The following is a 15,079-nucleotide window of genomic DNA, read 5'->3' as shown; positions in this document are numbered from 1 at the left end:
TAGTCTCTCCTGACATTAGTATTATAAAGGGTGTCCACTGAAATTTAAATCATATTTTATGTTTTAGCTATTTAACTTTAGAAGTAGGCACAGGTGACTGTACTTTCAACTGCTAAATTTTCAGTGTTGGGGTTTATGCCATTTTGGACTGATGGGAAATTGTCATATAATATTGAAAACTGTAACAGTAAAATGGACTACTTCACATTTTGGGGGACAAGTATTTTCTCATTTGGTTAATTACGGTTTGAACTCATGTGAAATTAACCTAATGATATCAAGAAAATGCTGACAATATAAATAGTCATACCTTATATAGTTATAATTTATAATCTCTCCATAAGCACAATTAAAAATACATGAACCCAGAAAATGTACAAGTATTTGAAAATACAATTAAATATTTACTTCAAAGATGCACAAAAAGCACAAACGTGACTTTTGATTGGGTTAAGTCTGCAGGAACGTCCCTCTCTATTATTTCCACTTTGCAGGAACAATAGCTCAGGGTAAAAAAAGCAGAGGAAGCGGGCGCAGGGGCTCATGCCTGTAATTCCAGGACTTTGGGACTCCGAGGCAGAAGGATTGCTTGTGCCCTGGCATATGAGACTTGTGCCCTGGCGTATGAGACCTATACCCTGGGCAACATAGGGAGACCCCTTCTCTATAGAAAATAAAAAATTAGCCAGGCGTGGTGGCGTGCACCTGTGGTCCCAGCTAGCAGAAGGCTAAAGTGGGAGGCTCGCTTGAGACTGGGAGGTCCAGGATGCAGTGAGCTGTGATCATGCCACTGCGCTCCACCCTGGTCAACAGAACAAGACCTCGGCCCCCTCGCCCCCCACCCCCGCCAAAAAAAATAAGCAGAGGATATGCATCAATCAAGAATTCCTACGGGTCCATGAAGACACACATCTTTTTCTACTCCCTCTGCATAGGAACGAAAGGAAAAATCATGAGAAAACAAAATTCTCACCCATTGTAAATATAATAGTATGCCCATGAGCAGCATATCAATCTCAAAATGCTTACTCTATTTACAAAGTGTTTGTTGCATCATTCACTAGATTCTCAAAATAATTTTCCATGAAACACACTAATAAATGGGGTTATTAGCCTAATTTTACAGATAAGAAAAATGGTGCTTAGAGAGGTCAAGTGACTTACTCATGGTTAGATATTGGTAACCAAGTTTTCTGATTTCTTATTAAATATTCTTTCTACTATGCCACTTTGGTTTTCAAACAAATGAAGCAACTAAAGGTTAAGAGTAAAAACCTTATGATTCCAAAAAACTTCACTTGGTACTCTTTTGTGATTAAGAGTAGTTTACAGAACAGAATAGAAATGTACATTATAAAATATTTGACACTATGATCAAAATATCCCTTCCAGGAGAGTTTAATCAATAAGTTAAAAATTAGGAAACTCAAAAGTCATTTTACTGTCTTAATTGATTATTCTATCTTAACTTGTACTGATGAGATTGTAAAATGCAATTTGAAGGCTAAATATATCAAGCATCTAACCAATTTTTCTTCCCCAGAAAAATCTTTTCTGCATTCTTTTCATATTGGAAATTAGGAAATTTGGAAATTTACTTGGACAAAAATGCTATTATTAAAAACATTCCATGTTTACCTATATTAATAATTTTGACAATAGTTCAAAGTAAATTGCATTTACTTTCTTTGAAAATGTCAATACATAAATAAATTTTGTTCTTCTTGTCTAAATACGAACAGTACACCGTAACAGCAAAACATGTGCTGCTGATAGTCCAGGCACGGCAGCTCATGCCTATAATTCCAGCACTTTGGAGGCCGAGGGGGGCGAATTGCTTGAGGCGAGGAGTTGGAGACCAGCCTGGGGAACATTATGAAACCCTGTGTCTACTTATAATACAAAAATTAGCCGGGCATGGTGGCGCACATCTGCAGTTCCAGCTACTCAGGAGGCTGAGGTAAGGTACTGACAATCACCTGAACCCAGGAAGCAGAGGTTGCAGGGAGCCAAGATTGCCCCACTGCACTCCAGCCTGGGTGACAAAACAAGACCCTGTCTCAAAAAAAAAAAGCAACATTTCAAACATTTGGTGAGCGGTCCTCCGTTTTTAATTTTACAAATATTTGCTTAAAGTAGTTTGCTTGGATCCTTAGATATCTTTGTAAAACATAATGCATTTTTAGAAGCAATAAATTAGGGAACAAAAATGGACATAAAACTTATTTTCTTGTGTTGAGGCAAAATTAAGGGAGGACAAACATTTCCAGAGAATGGGGAAAAAACCTGGTACTTTATATAAGGAACTGCTATTTACGTCCTAGTCGATACTTCTGAGATTGTTTACTCTGCAGGTGAACAGTGCATATTTAAATGCATTTTGCTATTCAATATTAATTAACTCAAGAGAATGTAATTCCTGATAAAATCTTTTCAATTGACTATATATGCACAAAAATCCATTTGAACTGTCAAGAAAAATGAGTAATAGTGACATATCTGGACACTAAGGTCAGCGTATGCTAACAAAGTAAGAATGGAGGTAATTTCAAGAAAAAGATTGTCTGCTTTGCTTGGTAATTTAGCAAAATACCCAATCTAGTAGTGTAACAAGTAAGCATCATGCTCTGAATCAAATACCTTATAAAATAGTATTGGTGTGGGTTTGTAACCTTTTTAAATTCTTTCATTGCATCATTCTGCTGTTAATGTTGGTATTTATCCTGAACTGACACCCAATCTGTTCCTGTTAGTTCTTCAGCATGTTTGAAGTCAGCAGAAGCATTCTTTCCTGGGCTTTACTGCTTCCTCAGAAGAATGCACAGTATTTGGAACAAAACCACTTTTAACCCCTTCCCAGCCATCCTGAATACAAATTTCTCCCTTTTTAATAAGTTCATATATGTCTCTCGTCAAGATTGTGAAGGATTCTTCAACATTTGTAGCATCCTTTGCTGAGGTTTCTATATACTTCATTCCACAGTCTGCTGACAGTTTTTCAGCTTCTTCCCTTGTAACTTGACGTTGTGAAGCTAAATCACATTTATGTCCCACTAGCAGAAATACAATCCGAAATGGCTGTACATACATTTTTGCTTCTTCTAGCCAATCTTTCACATGTTCAAAAGATCGTCGGTTAGTAATGTCAAATACTAAAAATCCACCAACTGAGTTGCGGTAATAAGATCGGGTTATTGATCTGAAAAATGAAGAGAAAAAAGGTTGTATAAGGACAACTTGTTCTTTTTCTTCTCCTTCCAACAATCTAGCACCATAATAACATTTGAAGATATCTTAATATGATTTAACTAGAATTTATAAATAAAATATGAGGTATCTCAAGTGAACAAAAATATTCTATGGGACTAATACGCAAGTTTCATACACTGACAGAACACGAAAGTAGTAGTTATTTTTAGTTAGACAAATAAGCACTTACATGCTATGTCATCTCATACTGTCTGATTATTTGTTTTTGCTTTCAAAAATCTGATAGATTATTACATCATTGTGGTTAAAAATAAGCATATTGAAAGACTGAGTAAAGGGCACAGGTTGTACAACAAACTAGATCTTAAGAATCTCACTTGTCATAAAATTTAATGAACTCTTCTCTCTATCAGTTTAGGAAAAAGAAACAAGGGCTGTAGTATGGATCGAATGTCTGTGTCCCTCCCAAATTCTTATGTTGAAATGCTAACCCTAATGTGGTGGTATTAGGATTAGGAGGAGGGGCCTTTGGGATGTAATTTAGGTCATGAGGGTGGAACCCTCGTGAATGGGACCAGTGCCCTTAAAAAAAGATACCCCAGAGAGCACTCTAGTCCTCTTTCTACCATGTGAGGATACAAGGTGGCTGTCTGCAACCCAGAAGAGGGCCCTCACTGGAACCTGACCATGCTGGCACCAGGATCTCCCTGATCATCCACTTCCAGCTTCCAAAATTGTGAGAACTAAATTTCTGTTGTTTAAATCCCCATTCTGTGGTAATTTGTTATAACAGCCCAAACTCACGAAGACAGCAGACTTGTCACAGTATTAGTTACAGGTACAGTCTTGTGTTGCACCTATTCAAGAAACAGGAGACTGTATGGACCTGGGATATGAATCTGAGGTGTGCTAACGATTCTCTGTATGTCTCTCCAGATCTAGTCTCCATCCTTCTCTAGGCCTGAGGAAGCTGTCCTTCACAAAAAGCTTTCCCAAACTCCCTTGCCCTCCAGCTTGCAGGGGGGTTCAGCCAATGGGAGGCGCTGGCTGGAGACAGAAGGAAAGAGAAGTCAGAGTATTTATCCCTCTGTTTGCTTCTGCTGGGCTGTGGCTTAGCAGTGGTGGTATTCCTCTGCTTCTAGTCAGGGTTTCTGTAGGGTGGACCCTCTCCCATGGCTACAGCTGTCACCACGTTCTGGTAATACCATTCTCTGTCCTCTCCTCTTCCAACCAGGTGGTCAATGGCTTCCCACTGTTGCTAGCTCTGAATGCTTCACCATCCTTTATTAGTATCCTTGATGCTGATTGTATCTCTGGAAATAGTCACTTCATTAAACTCTTTTCGGCTAACCTACAATTGTGCCATCTGTTTCCTGGCTGAATCATGAGGCAAGGTGTCAAGGCTATACTGTTTTACGTTTCTTGCCCCTCCACATGTTGTTTTATCTATTTGGAATATCTTCTACCCCTTTTCTGTCTAAGAAACTCCTATGTCTGCTTCAATAGTGAGCTCAATAATCATACCATCTGAGCAGCCTTCCCTGCCACTCACCTCTTTCTTAGGTACTCTTCTTATAGTTCCTCTGAACCACTGGCATTCTGCCATTATGATTATCTTAATTTTCTTGATATGCTGACTGGATTTGCTGTTATGTCAATCATACTGCATGGCAAATGACAGATGTCATACAATGTTTGTTATATTGGATTTTTTTTTTTTTTTTTGAGATGGAGTCTTGCTCTGTCGCCCAGGCTGGAGTGCAGTGGCGTGATCTTGGCTCACTGCAACCTCCGCCTCCTGGGTTCAAGCAATTCTCCTGCCTTGGCCTCCCAAGTAGCTGGGACTATAGGCGCATGCCACCACCCCCAGCTAATTTTTGTATTTTTAGTGGAGACAGGGTTTCACCATGTTGGCCAAGATGCTCTCGATCTCTTGACCTTGTGATCCACCTGCCTCGGCCTCCCAAAGTGCTAGGATTACAGGCGTGAGCCACCGCGGCCAATATTGGATTAATTAACCTTATTGGAGAGGAAAAGTGCTAAATGCTGTATAAACCAGAGATCCCATGAGTCTCAGTTTCCAGTTTGTCAATGGTCTTTTAGCAAACTCATCTGACTACTTGCCTGAGGCACCAAGATCTTTGTGAATGGCCAGTGGGTTATTTGTTACCGTCATACTTTCCTACTTGTCCTCATTGCTGAAATCACAGCTCAGTTCAGTGCCCTGATGCCATAAATAGCTTTGTTGTGGGAGTGCAAACCATTTTACCTCCTCTTTCTTTCTATTTCTCCTGCTTCCCTGTTTCTCCTCAGAATTCCTAGTAGAGAGATTCCCAAGTGGCTATTTTTGAAAAACTTTTGTCAAGGACTATAGTATTATAGAGAAATTGAGTTTTTCACCAACCCGATGCTTAGATTCTAAAAATAAAAAAAGAAAAGAAATTGACAATAAGAAAAATCTCCCACCATCTTTGGCAGGCTATGAATAATGCAGTTGCTATATTTTAACTTTGAGGGATAACTAATTTGTTATTGTTTTGTCACTCATCTTTATATGTGTGAATTTAGGCAGATGTGCAGTGTCTTAAGAGAAATCTAATTAAGGCTATGTTCTTAGACTGAAAGCTTGAATTTACTCAGCATCAAGCCTGCATCACTTTTATCCCTCCTATCCATTTAATTTACCATTACTAGAATATTTTAAAAATGCCTTTTGTGGCTGAAAACTCAATGCTGAAATGCTTATGTATTACACAGAGGCATGTTTTTCACTGTAGGAAATACTATGTTTTCTTTTCTTTTCTTTTTTTTTTTGAGACGGAGTTTTTGTTCTGTTGCCCAGGCTGGAATGCAATGGCACAATCTTGGCTCACTGCAACCTCTGCCTCCTAGGTTCAAGCAATTCTCCTGCCTCAACCTCCTGACTAGCTGGGATTACAGGCGCCCACCACCATGCCCAGCTAATTTTTTAATTTTTAGTAGAGATGAGTTTTTACCATGTTGGCCAGGCTGGTCTCGAGCTCCTGACCTCAGGTGATCCACCCACCTTGGCCTCCCAGAGCACTAGGATAACAGGCATGAGCCACCGCGCCCGGCCAGGAAATACTATCTTTTCAAAAAACTTATTTTTTATTTTCTTTTTAAAATAAGCAACCCTATTAACTGATTGTATTTAATTTTGAAAACACATTTAGATTACAGTTGGCAAATCATCCTACAGAATAAAATTATAGCAAAGTATATGTAATACACATTATAAAAAAACCCTTATTAATAATTAGTTGGGAATAAAAGGACTCAATATAACATCTGTCACTTCTATGTAATAACCTGATTTCTAGCTTCTGTGTGTGGGTCTGTGGGGCTTCAGATTCAGATATAGTTGTCCTGCAGGTAGTGTTTTTCCTAAAACAATTGGGCACTGTTGCTATCAATCATCTGGGGGAAGAAGCAGAGCTTCAGATGGAAAACTTGAACTGAAAGGCAGGTCTTACAGAGGTGTTGAGGGAGCAGCTATCTTTCTCTTGACCTTCCTCCCATAAGTTGAGACACTTAGGTCTCTAGAAGTTCTTGAAGGAATTATGAGAAGGTAGGGAACAGACTCTAAAAGCACTAGGTAGGGAGGCCTCCCTGTAAGGAACTGAAGAGTTGATGAGGAGTAACAATTATTTTTAAGCAACAATCTCTTGTAGTATGGCACTTTATGTCTATTTCCCTCTAGGCTTTGAAAGTCTCCCTGAATGGGTGGGGTGCAGTGGCTCTCACCTGTAATCCCAGCAATTTGGGAGGCCAAGGTGGGCAGATCACCTGAGGTCAGGAATTCGAGACCAACCTGGCCAACATGGTGAAACCCCGTCTCTACCAAAAATACATAAAATAGCCAGGCATGGTGGTGCATGCCTGTAGTCCAAGCTACTTGGGAGGCTGAGGCAGGAGAATTGCTTGAACCCAGGAGGCAGAAGTTGCAGTGAGCTGAGATCACACCATTGCACTCCAGCCTGGGCGACAGAGACTCTGTCTCAAAAAAAAGAAAGAAAAAAAAAAGTCTCCCTGAATTAATGGATGATTTAAGGGAAGGAAAAAAATTGTGGGGTCAGGGAATGGAGGGAAGAAAAGAACAGAAGCAAGGAAGGAAGAGAGAAATAAATGGCATGGATTCTAATCTGGTCTGGTGTGTTATGAGGGAATGAAGAGGTGAGACTATTCTCTGGCAAGAATGATAAAGCAGATACAAAACCCCTAAATACAGTGTGAGGGTGATGTGATGATAGGGAAGGTGAATTCTGGAGGAGAGGGTTCGGGGTTATAAGCTCCTAGCAGTCGCTTGTCCCTCTCAAGTGGAAGATCTGGTTTTAATTATAAAAGAAAGCTGCTGGTTCTTTCATACTTTGAAAGCTACACTATCAGCAAATCTTATCCCATTGCCAGAGGAGCAGTCTCCTTTCCTTGCCTTAATTGAAAACTGCTGGTCCCTGAGAACACTGCTTCCCCTGCAGCACACTCACGTTGCCCATTCTCTAGGATCAGGAGGAGATGGCTTCTGTTTCCCCAGTGCAACTTCCTGATAATTATTCTTTCCCAACCCCTGTTGTAAAAAAAATCTCCTGCTCCTTTGAGGCTTATGCCATCTGGCTCTGCCAACTGCTGTCATCTTCCAACTGCTTGGTCATTCTCCATGTACTAAAGATTTTAGCACTTTGTTTTTCTTTCTGTTTCAATTCCTGTCATTCTGCTTACTGATTTCAACATCCATTTGGATGAGCTGCCTGGTGTCACTTCTCAAATTCCTTGACTCCCTCATCTCTAATAAACCTTTCTCTCTATTCTTCCTTTCTTATCCATTTCCTTTTCATCAGAAATATTAATTACCTCCAAAACTGGAAATTTACACAGTCCACTAAAAATATCAAAACCTCACAGTCTGCCAGCCTGTCTATTCTTTTTTACTGTGGTGATTCTTTAATTTCATCAAGATTTGTAATCCACTGACCAACTCTATCACTTTCTATCCATTAATACTCTCCTACCTTTGCCTTCTTCCATATCTTGAGTTCAATGAGACATCATTATAATTGTTCTCTTGGAAATATCTCAATTTCCAAGCCTCTTTCCCTCTGTCATATTCATCTGGGAAACTTCTATCTCTGGATCAGTCCAGCATGCAGCTGTATGTTTCCGGGGAAAATCACTCAACCAGGCAGGCTGGTGTCACTATGAATTAATTATAACCAATCCCAAGTGGGCACTCAACACTGCTGAGGAATACTGCTAATAACAGGAGAAACTCTTCCTTTTTTCCTCACATTTATGCTTCTACTATAGGAAGAAATGGAAGTTCCATTCAACCTTCCTCTCCCCATAAAAGAGAACTGGAGGCACATTTTAACCCTCTTACTAATCACTCCATAGAAGGACAAATGGCTGCTCTGTTTGGCTAGAGTATGTTTCTTAGGCTGTGGGCAGGATCATTGTGTGTTCAAGGTCAGTACTCTTGTATAGCGTCCTTTTCCCTCCTTTCCTCTTTCTGGATCCATGCTACTGGCTTGCTGATTATCAGAGTCATGCAGGTGCCATGTCAATACTGCTCACTGTTGAATATCAATGGTTTTCAAGTACCTAGCACATAGTGGGCATTCAGTGCACCTTAGTGAATGAATGAATGGTTGATTTGGTCTAAGCCACTTACATAGCTGTTGTGAAAATAGGAGAAATATCAGAGAGAGTGAGGAAGTTTGAGGGAAAGAGATACTAGCAGTGCAAAAAAAGAAAGGTGCCCAACATTATATCTATTACTAGTGTGGTCTTATGTTCTCACACTGAGGTCATTGAGTTGCTATGAGCATTATCAGTGTTGGAGGGGGTGGATAAATTATATATTCAGAAATACATACATCCTAAAGATATATCCAATGAAAATACAGTAGCCAGCAATCTCTGTGAAGTTTCTTGGGGGAAGGGAGTCCTTTAATCAGGGGTATGTTGATGAAACCTCTCCAAAGAAGAAAAGTTACCATATTTTATACCCCCTACTAAAAAAAAAAATGCATAATACTTGGTGAAACTTTTTCATTTTTTAAAATTTTTATAATTGTTTCTGAGATGGAGTTTCACTCTTGTTGCCTAGGCTGGAGTGCAATGGTGTGATCTCGGCTCACCACAACCTCCACCTCCCAGGTTCAAGCACTTCTCCTGCCTCAGCCTCCTGAGTAGCAGGGATTACAGGCATGCACCACCACACGTGGCTAATTTTGTATTTTTAGTAGAGATGGGATTTCTCCATGTTGGTCAGGCTGGTCTCGACCTCCCAACCTCAGGTGATCCGCCTGCCTCGGCCTCCCAAAGTGCTAGGATTACAGGCGTGAACCGTTTTTAATTTTGGAGGAAACATTATCAGTATAATGTGCTTCTCTGATCCATTAAGTGGAAAACCCAAAAGCTTGCTAGCTTTGATAGAGCTGAAAGCAAGAGAAGTCCCTTCGGCTGGTCCAAGCTACAGTGCAAGCCCACTTGGCCCATGGTCCATCAGATCTAATGGTGCCTGCCTGAAGTACCTCTAGCAGCCTGGAATGCTCATCAGGCCCAGGAAACCTCCACTGGACAATTACAGAAGTGGCATTTTGGAATAAAAGCATGCTTTTGGCCGCGTGCAGTGGCTCATGCCTGTAATCCCAGCACTTTGGGAGGCTGAGGTGGGTGGATCACAAGGTTGGGAGATTGAGACCATCCTGGCTAACATGGTGAAACCCCGTCTCTACTAAAAATACAAAAAAATTAGCCGGGCATGGTGGCGGGTGCCTGTAGTCCCAGCTCCTCGGGAGGCTGAGGCAGGAGAATGGCGTGAACCCGGGAGGTGGAGCTTGCAGTGAGCCGAGATCGGGCCACTGCACTCCAGCCTGGGCGACAGAACGAGACTCTGTCTCAAAAAAAAAAAAAAAAAAAAAAAAAAAGCATGCTTTCTTTGTCAAATACTATTATACTTTTGTAAAATAATTCTTGGCTTATAACTTGGCTTTGATAGAGACTAAATGCCTGATGGTAGAACACCAAGTGACTGTGCAATCTGAATGTCTATCATAAGCTGGGTGTTCTGATTCACCAGGCTGGAGCTTCATCACCAAGGAGAGGTCACATATATAGGAAGGAATATGCGGTGGGACCTGAATGGACCTGGAATAACAAAGTTCACAGACCCAGCACATCTATTCTTACAGCACCCTCTCAACTCATGGCCTTATCTGGATTTCCCTATAATTACAGAGGAAAAAAATTCAAGTCTGTCTTACAAATGGCTCTAAACAATATGCTGGCATCAGTAAGCCACGCTCAATGGAGAACTTGAAGGTCAGTGGAAAAGTTCCATTTGTGGAATCTCTAGTGCTACATCTCACTGTTTACTTTTTCCAGAGGAAGAGTTGGAGAGACGTAGGTAAAGATCCACACCAAGTCATGAGCAGACGCGAAGGGTTTGGCATGCTGGGTAAAAAACAAGATCGGGGCTGGTAATTAGGAGGTCTGAGGAAGAGGTCTGTTGATGAGTCTAGAGTATGTGCATTCTTGTATCTTATGTGAATGGCCACCGAAAGACCCCGCCATGAAAAAATTTTAATAATCAATGGAACAAAATGTCCTGTCCTGTAATTATCAAACAGTATTTTTATCCCACTTTGAACTCATGGTAGGGAGATGGAAGCTGTACCTGGGCTCAATAGACTTAATCTTACCTAGGTTGGCCTGAACTGTTATTGCTTACTACCAGTTTTCCAGTAGCTACCGACATCCTGAATATTGTACCTTACTCTGGGGGACCATCATTGAGGGGACACAGATATGTCCTCATTGTAATATATTTAATCTGGATTTAGGCCATGCTAGTACCACCATCCATGAACATGCAGACTGCCTTATACATAGTCATGGTATCCTACACATTGCCACAGATCAAGTAATTCACTTAACAGTGGTGGAGATAGGGAAATGGAATGATGCCATGGGATTCATTGATCATATCACACCACTATCATCTAGAGGCGTCTGGCCCTATAAAACTGTGAAATGGGTTATTAAGAGGTAGGTGTGCCCATTTCCAGGAGATGACACCTTGTAAGATTTTAGCATAATCCTTCAGGATGTCTACATTCTAAATTAGTGAGCAAGATAGTAGGTGGTATTTTTTCCCCATAAACAGAAGCTGTGGTGTGGGAAGCAAAGGGTGAAAATAGGGTGATGGTGCCTCTCACAATTCCACTTAATGAGTCACTAAAATTTTTTGTTGCATCTAATCCCTGTGACTCTGAACTTTGCTGATATAAACGTTTTAGTATTCAAGGGAGAAATGCTTTCACTAGAAAACCCCGTGATGCTTCTACTGAATTAGCAGCTGAAGCTGCCGACTAGCCATTTGGAGCTTCTTATGGCAGGGGGTGAGCAGGCAGAAAGGGGGCAACAGTATCATGGGGACCACACTGGCTTCCTGCAGTTCCTACTGCCCAGACTCCCAGGATCTTTTGATTCATTCCAAGCCTGGCCTCCACTTTCCCATCAAGTCTCTGCACCTCAACCATTCTTCTACTAACTCTCTTTTTTGAATAAGGTTCTCAAGCTGGTTTTGTTGCAGGCAACCAAGGACCTGACCAATAGAGTCAACATAGACTTTGTAAGAAAAAAATGGTACAAAACAAGCTCACAAATCTCTTATATCTTTCAACATAGCTTTACAAGACTAAAGTTCAGTTTTTAAAAAAAACTGCAGTGAAGCACACATAGCATGAGATCTACCCTCTTAACAATTTTTAAGTGTACAGTGAAGTGTACAGCACTGTTAATTTTAAGTGCCAAGGTGTACAGTAGATCTTTAGAAATTTCTCATCTTACATGACTAAAATCCTATCCCTATGAACAGCAATTCCCAATTTCCCCAGCCCACAGCCTCCAAGAACCATCATTCCACTTTCTGCTTCTGTGAGTTTTTAGATACCTCATGTATAGGTGGAATCATACGGTATTTGTCCTTCTCTGATTGGCTTGTTTTATTTTTTATTTTTATTTATTTTTTTGAGACGGAGTCTCGTTCTGTCACCAGGCTGGAGTGCAATGGCGTGATCTCGGCTCACTGCAACATCCACCTCCCAGTTTCAAGTGATTCTCTTGCCTCAGCCTCCTGAGTAGCTGGGACTACAGGCATGTGCCACCACGCCCAGCTAATTTTTTTTGTATTTTTAGTAGAGACGGGGTTTCACCACATTGGCCAGAATGGTCTCGATCTCTTGACCTCATGATCTGCCTGCCTCGGCCTCCCAAAGTGCTGGGATTACAGGTGTGAGTCACAGCACCTGGCCTTCTTTATTTTTATTTTTGAGACAGAGTTGCGCTCTTGTTGCTCAGGCTGGAACACAATGGCACGGTCTCGGCTTACTGCAACCTCCACCTCCTGGGTTCAAGTGATCCTCCTGCCTCAGCCTCCCAAGCAGCTGGGATTACAGGTATGCGCCACCACACCCAGCTAATTTCTGTATTTTTTGTAGAGACGGAGTTTCACATGTTGGCCAGGCTGGTCTCAAACTCTTGACCTCAGGTGATCCGCCCACCTCGGCTTCCCAAAGTGCTGGGATTATAGGCATGAGCCACCAGGCCTGGCCTGACTGGCTTATTTTACTTAGCACAGTGTCCTCAAGGTCCATCCATGTTGTAGCCTATGACAGAATTTCCTTCTACTCAATGGAATAATGTTCCATTGTATGTATATGCCATACTTTATTCATCCACAAGGTTCATTCTTATACATATTTGCTTTAGCATAATGAGACAAAATGGTTGCCTTGTTTATGTAAACATTATTAACTGTTTGATTTTCCTCTCTAATTATTTTTCCTAAAATAATATATAGACAAGGGATTATTTGACAGCACTGGAGTTTGCATACATTTACAAAGATTACTTAATATATGATTAATGCAATCAAGTGTGAATGATCTATTGGGGAATTTGGAATTTTACACAAATGACATGATTACTGAGGTTCTAAAAAATGTAAATGATATCTCAGATTAAACAGTTGTCTAGTTTCCTAAAAGGCACTGAAGATAAGATGCTGTTGTTAAATGAAGGACAAAACTCCATAGGCCCTGGAATGCTCAAGATTATTTATAGTAGATGCCGGACACAGTGGCTCAGACCTATAATCCCAGTACTTTGGGAGTCCGAGGTGGCAGGATCGCTTGAACTCAGGAGTCCAAGGCTGCAGTGAACTATGACTGCGCCACTGAATTTCAGCGTTGGTGACAGATTGAGACCGTGTCTCCAAAAAAAAAAAAAAAAAAAAATCTGAAAATGGCAAGATTATATAGATCTTATGTGTTATTATCATGAATTTTGTTGGATACGCACAGGCCTCTTAAAAAAGCAACAAAATAGTAAGCACTTGCTGACTTCCTTAGGTAAAATGAACCAGATGTTCCCACCCTGGAAATGCCCTTCTTGTGGCTTTGCCAACTGTAAAATAGGCATTTAGAGGACAAAAGTACTTTGATGCCAAAGTCTCTTGGCATCAAGTAGCCTATGAATGCATTAGCCTTGTGGGTGCCTGTTTTTCAGCATGACATTACATTCCTACTGCCCTTCTGGGAACAGTCATTGTGTTGATGCTTTATTTTATTTGCTTCACTTGCCTTGTGGCCCTCAGCACTGTTTTCAAGAGGCTAAAACACAAGCCTCCCTACTCCTTTGATTATTATTGACTCTAACAGTCCCTGCCCTCACTTAAGATCCTGAAACTTGGCACTTGTAACTTAGAATATTCTTTCTTCATACAAACAATCTTAAGATTCTTTTTCTTTGTGTAACTCCAGGATCTTTCCATCAAAAATCAAGTCTGTGGTTGTAGAGGCCATATATATACTGACAAGATGTAATGGGTCATATTTCCCATTTGAATATGTGAATCAATTCCCCTGTGGCTTTTATTTTTCTTTCATAACAAATAATCATTTTATGATAGTGATGCTTTCTTACCATCCCTAGGACTCTCTTCTGCTCAGCATTTACACTCTATTTTCCTCTGTAGCAATTAATACATTCTGACATCCTATATAATTTTTACAGTTTATTTTGTTATAACCCGATTAGAAGATAAGCTCTATGAGAGCAAGGATTTTGTCTTTTTTTTTTTTTTTTTAGACAGGGTCTCGCTCTGTCGCCCAGGCTGGAGTGCAGTGGTATGATCTTGGCTCACTGCAACCTTTACCTCCCAGGCTCAACTAATCCTCCCACCTCAGCATCCCAGTATCTGGGATTACAGGCGCCTGCCACCTTGCCTAGCTAAGTTTTGTATTTTTTGTAGAGACGAAGTTTCGCCATGTTGCCCAGGCTGGTCTTGAACTCCTGAGCTCAAGTGATCTGCCCACCCTGGCCTCCGAAAGTGCTGGGATTACAGGCATGAGCCACCGCGCCCAGACTTTTTTTCTTTTAAACTTTGTATCCCTAGTGTTTAAAACTGCACTGGGCATGCATGAGTCCTACCACTATTTGTAAATGAACAAATAAACAACTGAATATGTTCATACCTCATTAGCTTGTGCCCAGGCAGCATTCAAATGCTGAGGAAATGGGAGAATAAAAGAGAAATATAAAAAAAGCTTATTTCTTTTCAATATTTACAGTAGGGATTTGTAAAGTCAAAAGGGGAGAAATGGGCTGAAAATTGCACACTCTATACACATATAGGTGAAATCACCCACATTTTCTTTCTTTTTTTTTTTTTGAGACGGAGTCTCACTCTGCCACCCAGGGTGGAGTGCAGTGGCACGATCTCGGCTCACTGCAAGTTCCGCCTCCTGGGTTCATGCCATTCTCCTGCCTCAGCCTCCCGAGTAGC

At 40.8% G+C, this 15,079-nt stretch overlaps 1 protein-coding gene across 1 annotated transcript in view, besides 2 other annotated features; it reads right to left on the bottom strand.

Moving 5' to 3' along the window:
* Positions 1-1,662: 1,662 nt before the first annotated feature.
* The window catches only part of RAB39A (RAB39A, member RAS oncogene family), a 35,035-nt gene continuing 21,618 nt past the window's right edge, over positions 1,663-15,079 (bottom strand). Inside the window, exon 2 of the mRNA NM_017516.3 lies at positions 1,663-3,199. Within this exon, the coding sequence (NP_059986.1) occupies positions 2,773-3,199 (427 nt within the window). The 3' untranslated portion in view covers positions 1,663-2,772. The remainder of the gene's footprint in view (positions 3,200-15,079) is intronic.
* Positions 3,441-3,500: an enhancer, noted in NCBI's record as "active region_5477". NCBI's record gives its function as "activates an Ori minimal core promoter by ATAC-STARR-seq in GM12878 lymphoblastoid cells {active_cell/tissue: GM12878}" and the evidence as "EXISTENCE:reporter gene assay evidence [ECO:0000049][PMID:35858748]".
* Positions 7,766-7,925: an enhancer, noted in NCBI's record as "active region_5476". NCBI's record gives its function as "activates an Ori minimal core promoter by ATAC-STARR-seq in GM12878 lymphoblastoid cells {active_cell/tissue: GM12878}" and the evidence as "EXISTENCE:reporter gene assay evidence [ECO:0000049][PMID:35858748]".

Source organism: Homo sapiens, chromosome 11 (assembly GCF_000001405.40).
Source record: "Homo sapiens chromosome 11, GRCh38.p14 Primary Assembly".
In the NCBI taxonomy this organism is placed as follows: domain Eukaryota; kingdom Metazoa; phylum Chordata; class Mammalia; order Primates; family Hominidae; genus Homo; species Homo sapiens.
The sequence above is the reverse complement of the archived record's forward strand: the minus strand, read 5'-3'. Positions and strand labels throughout refer to the sequence as shown.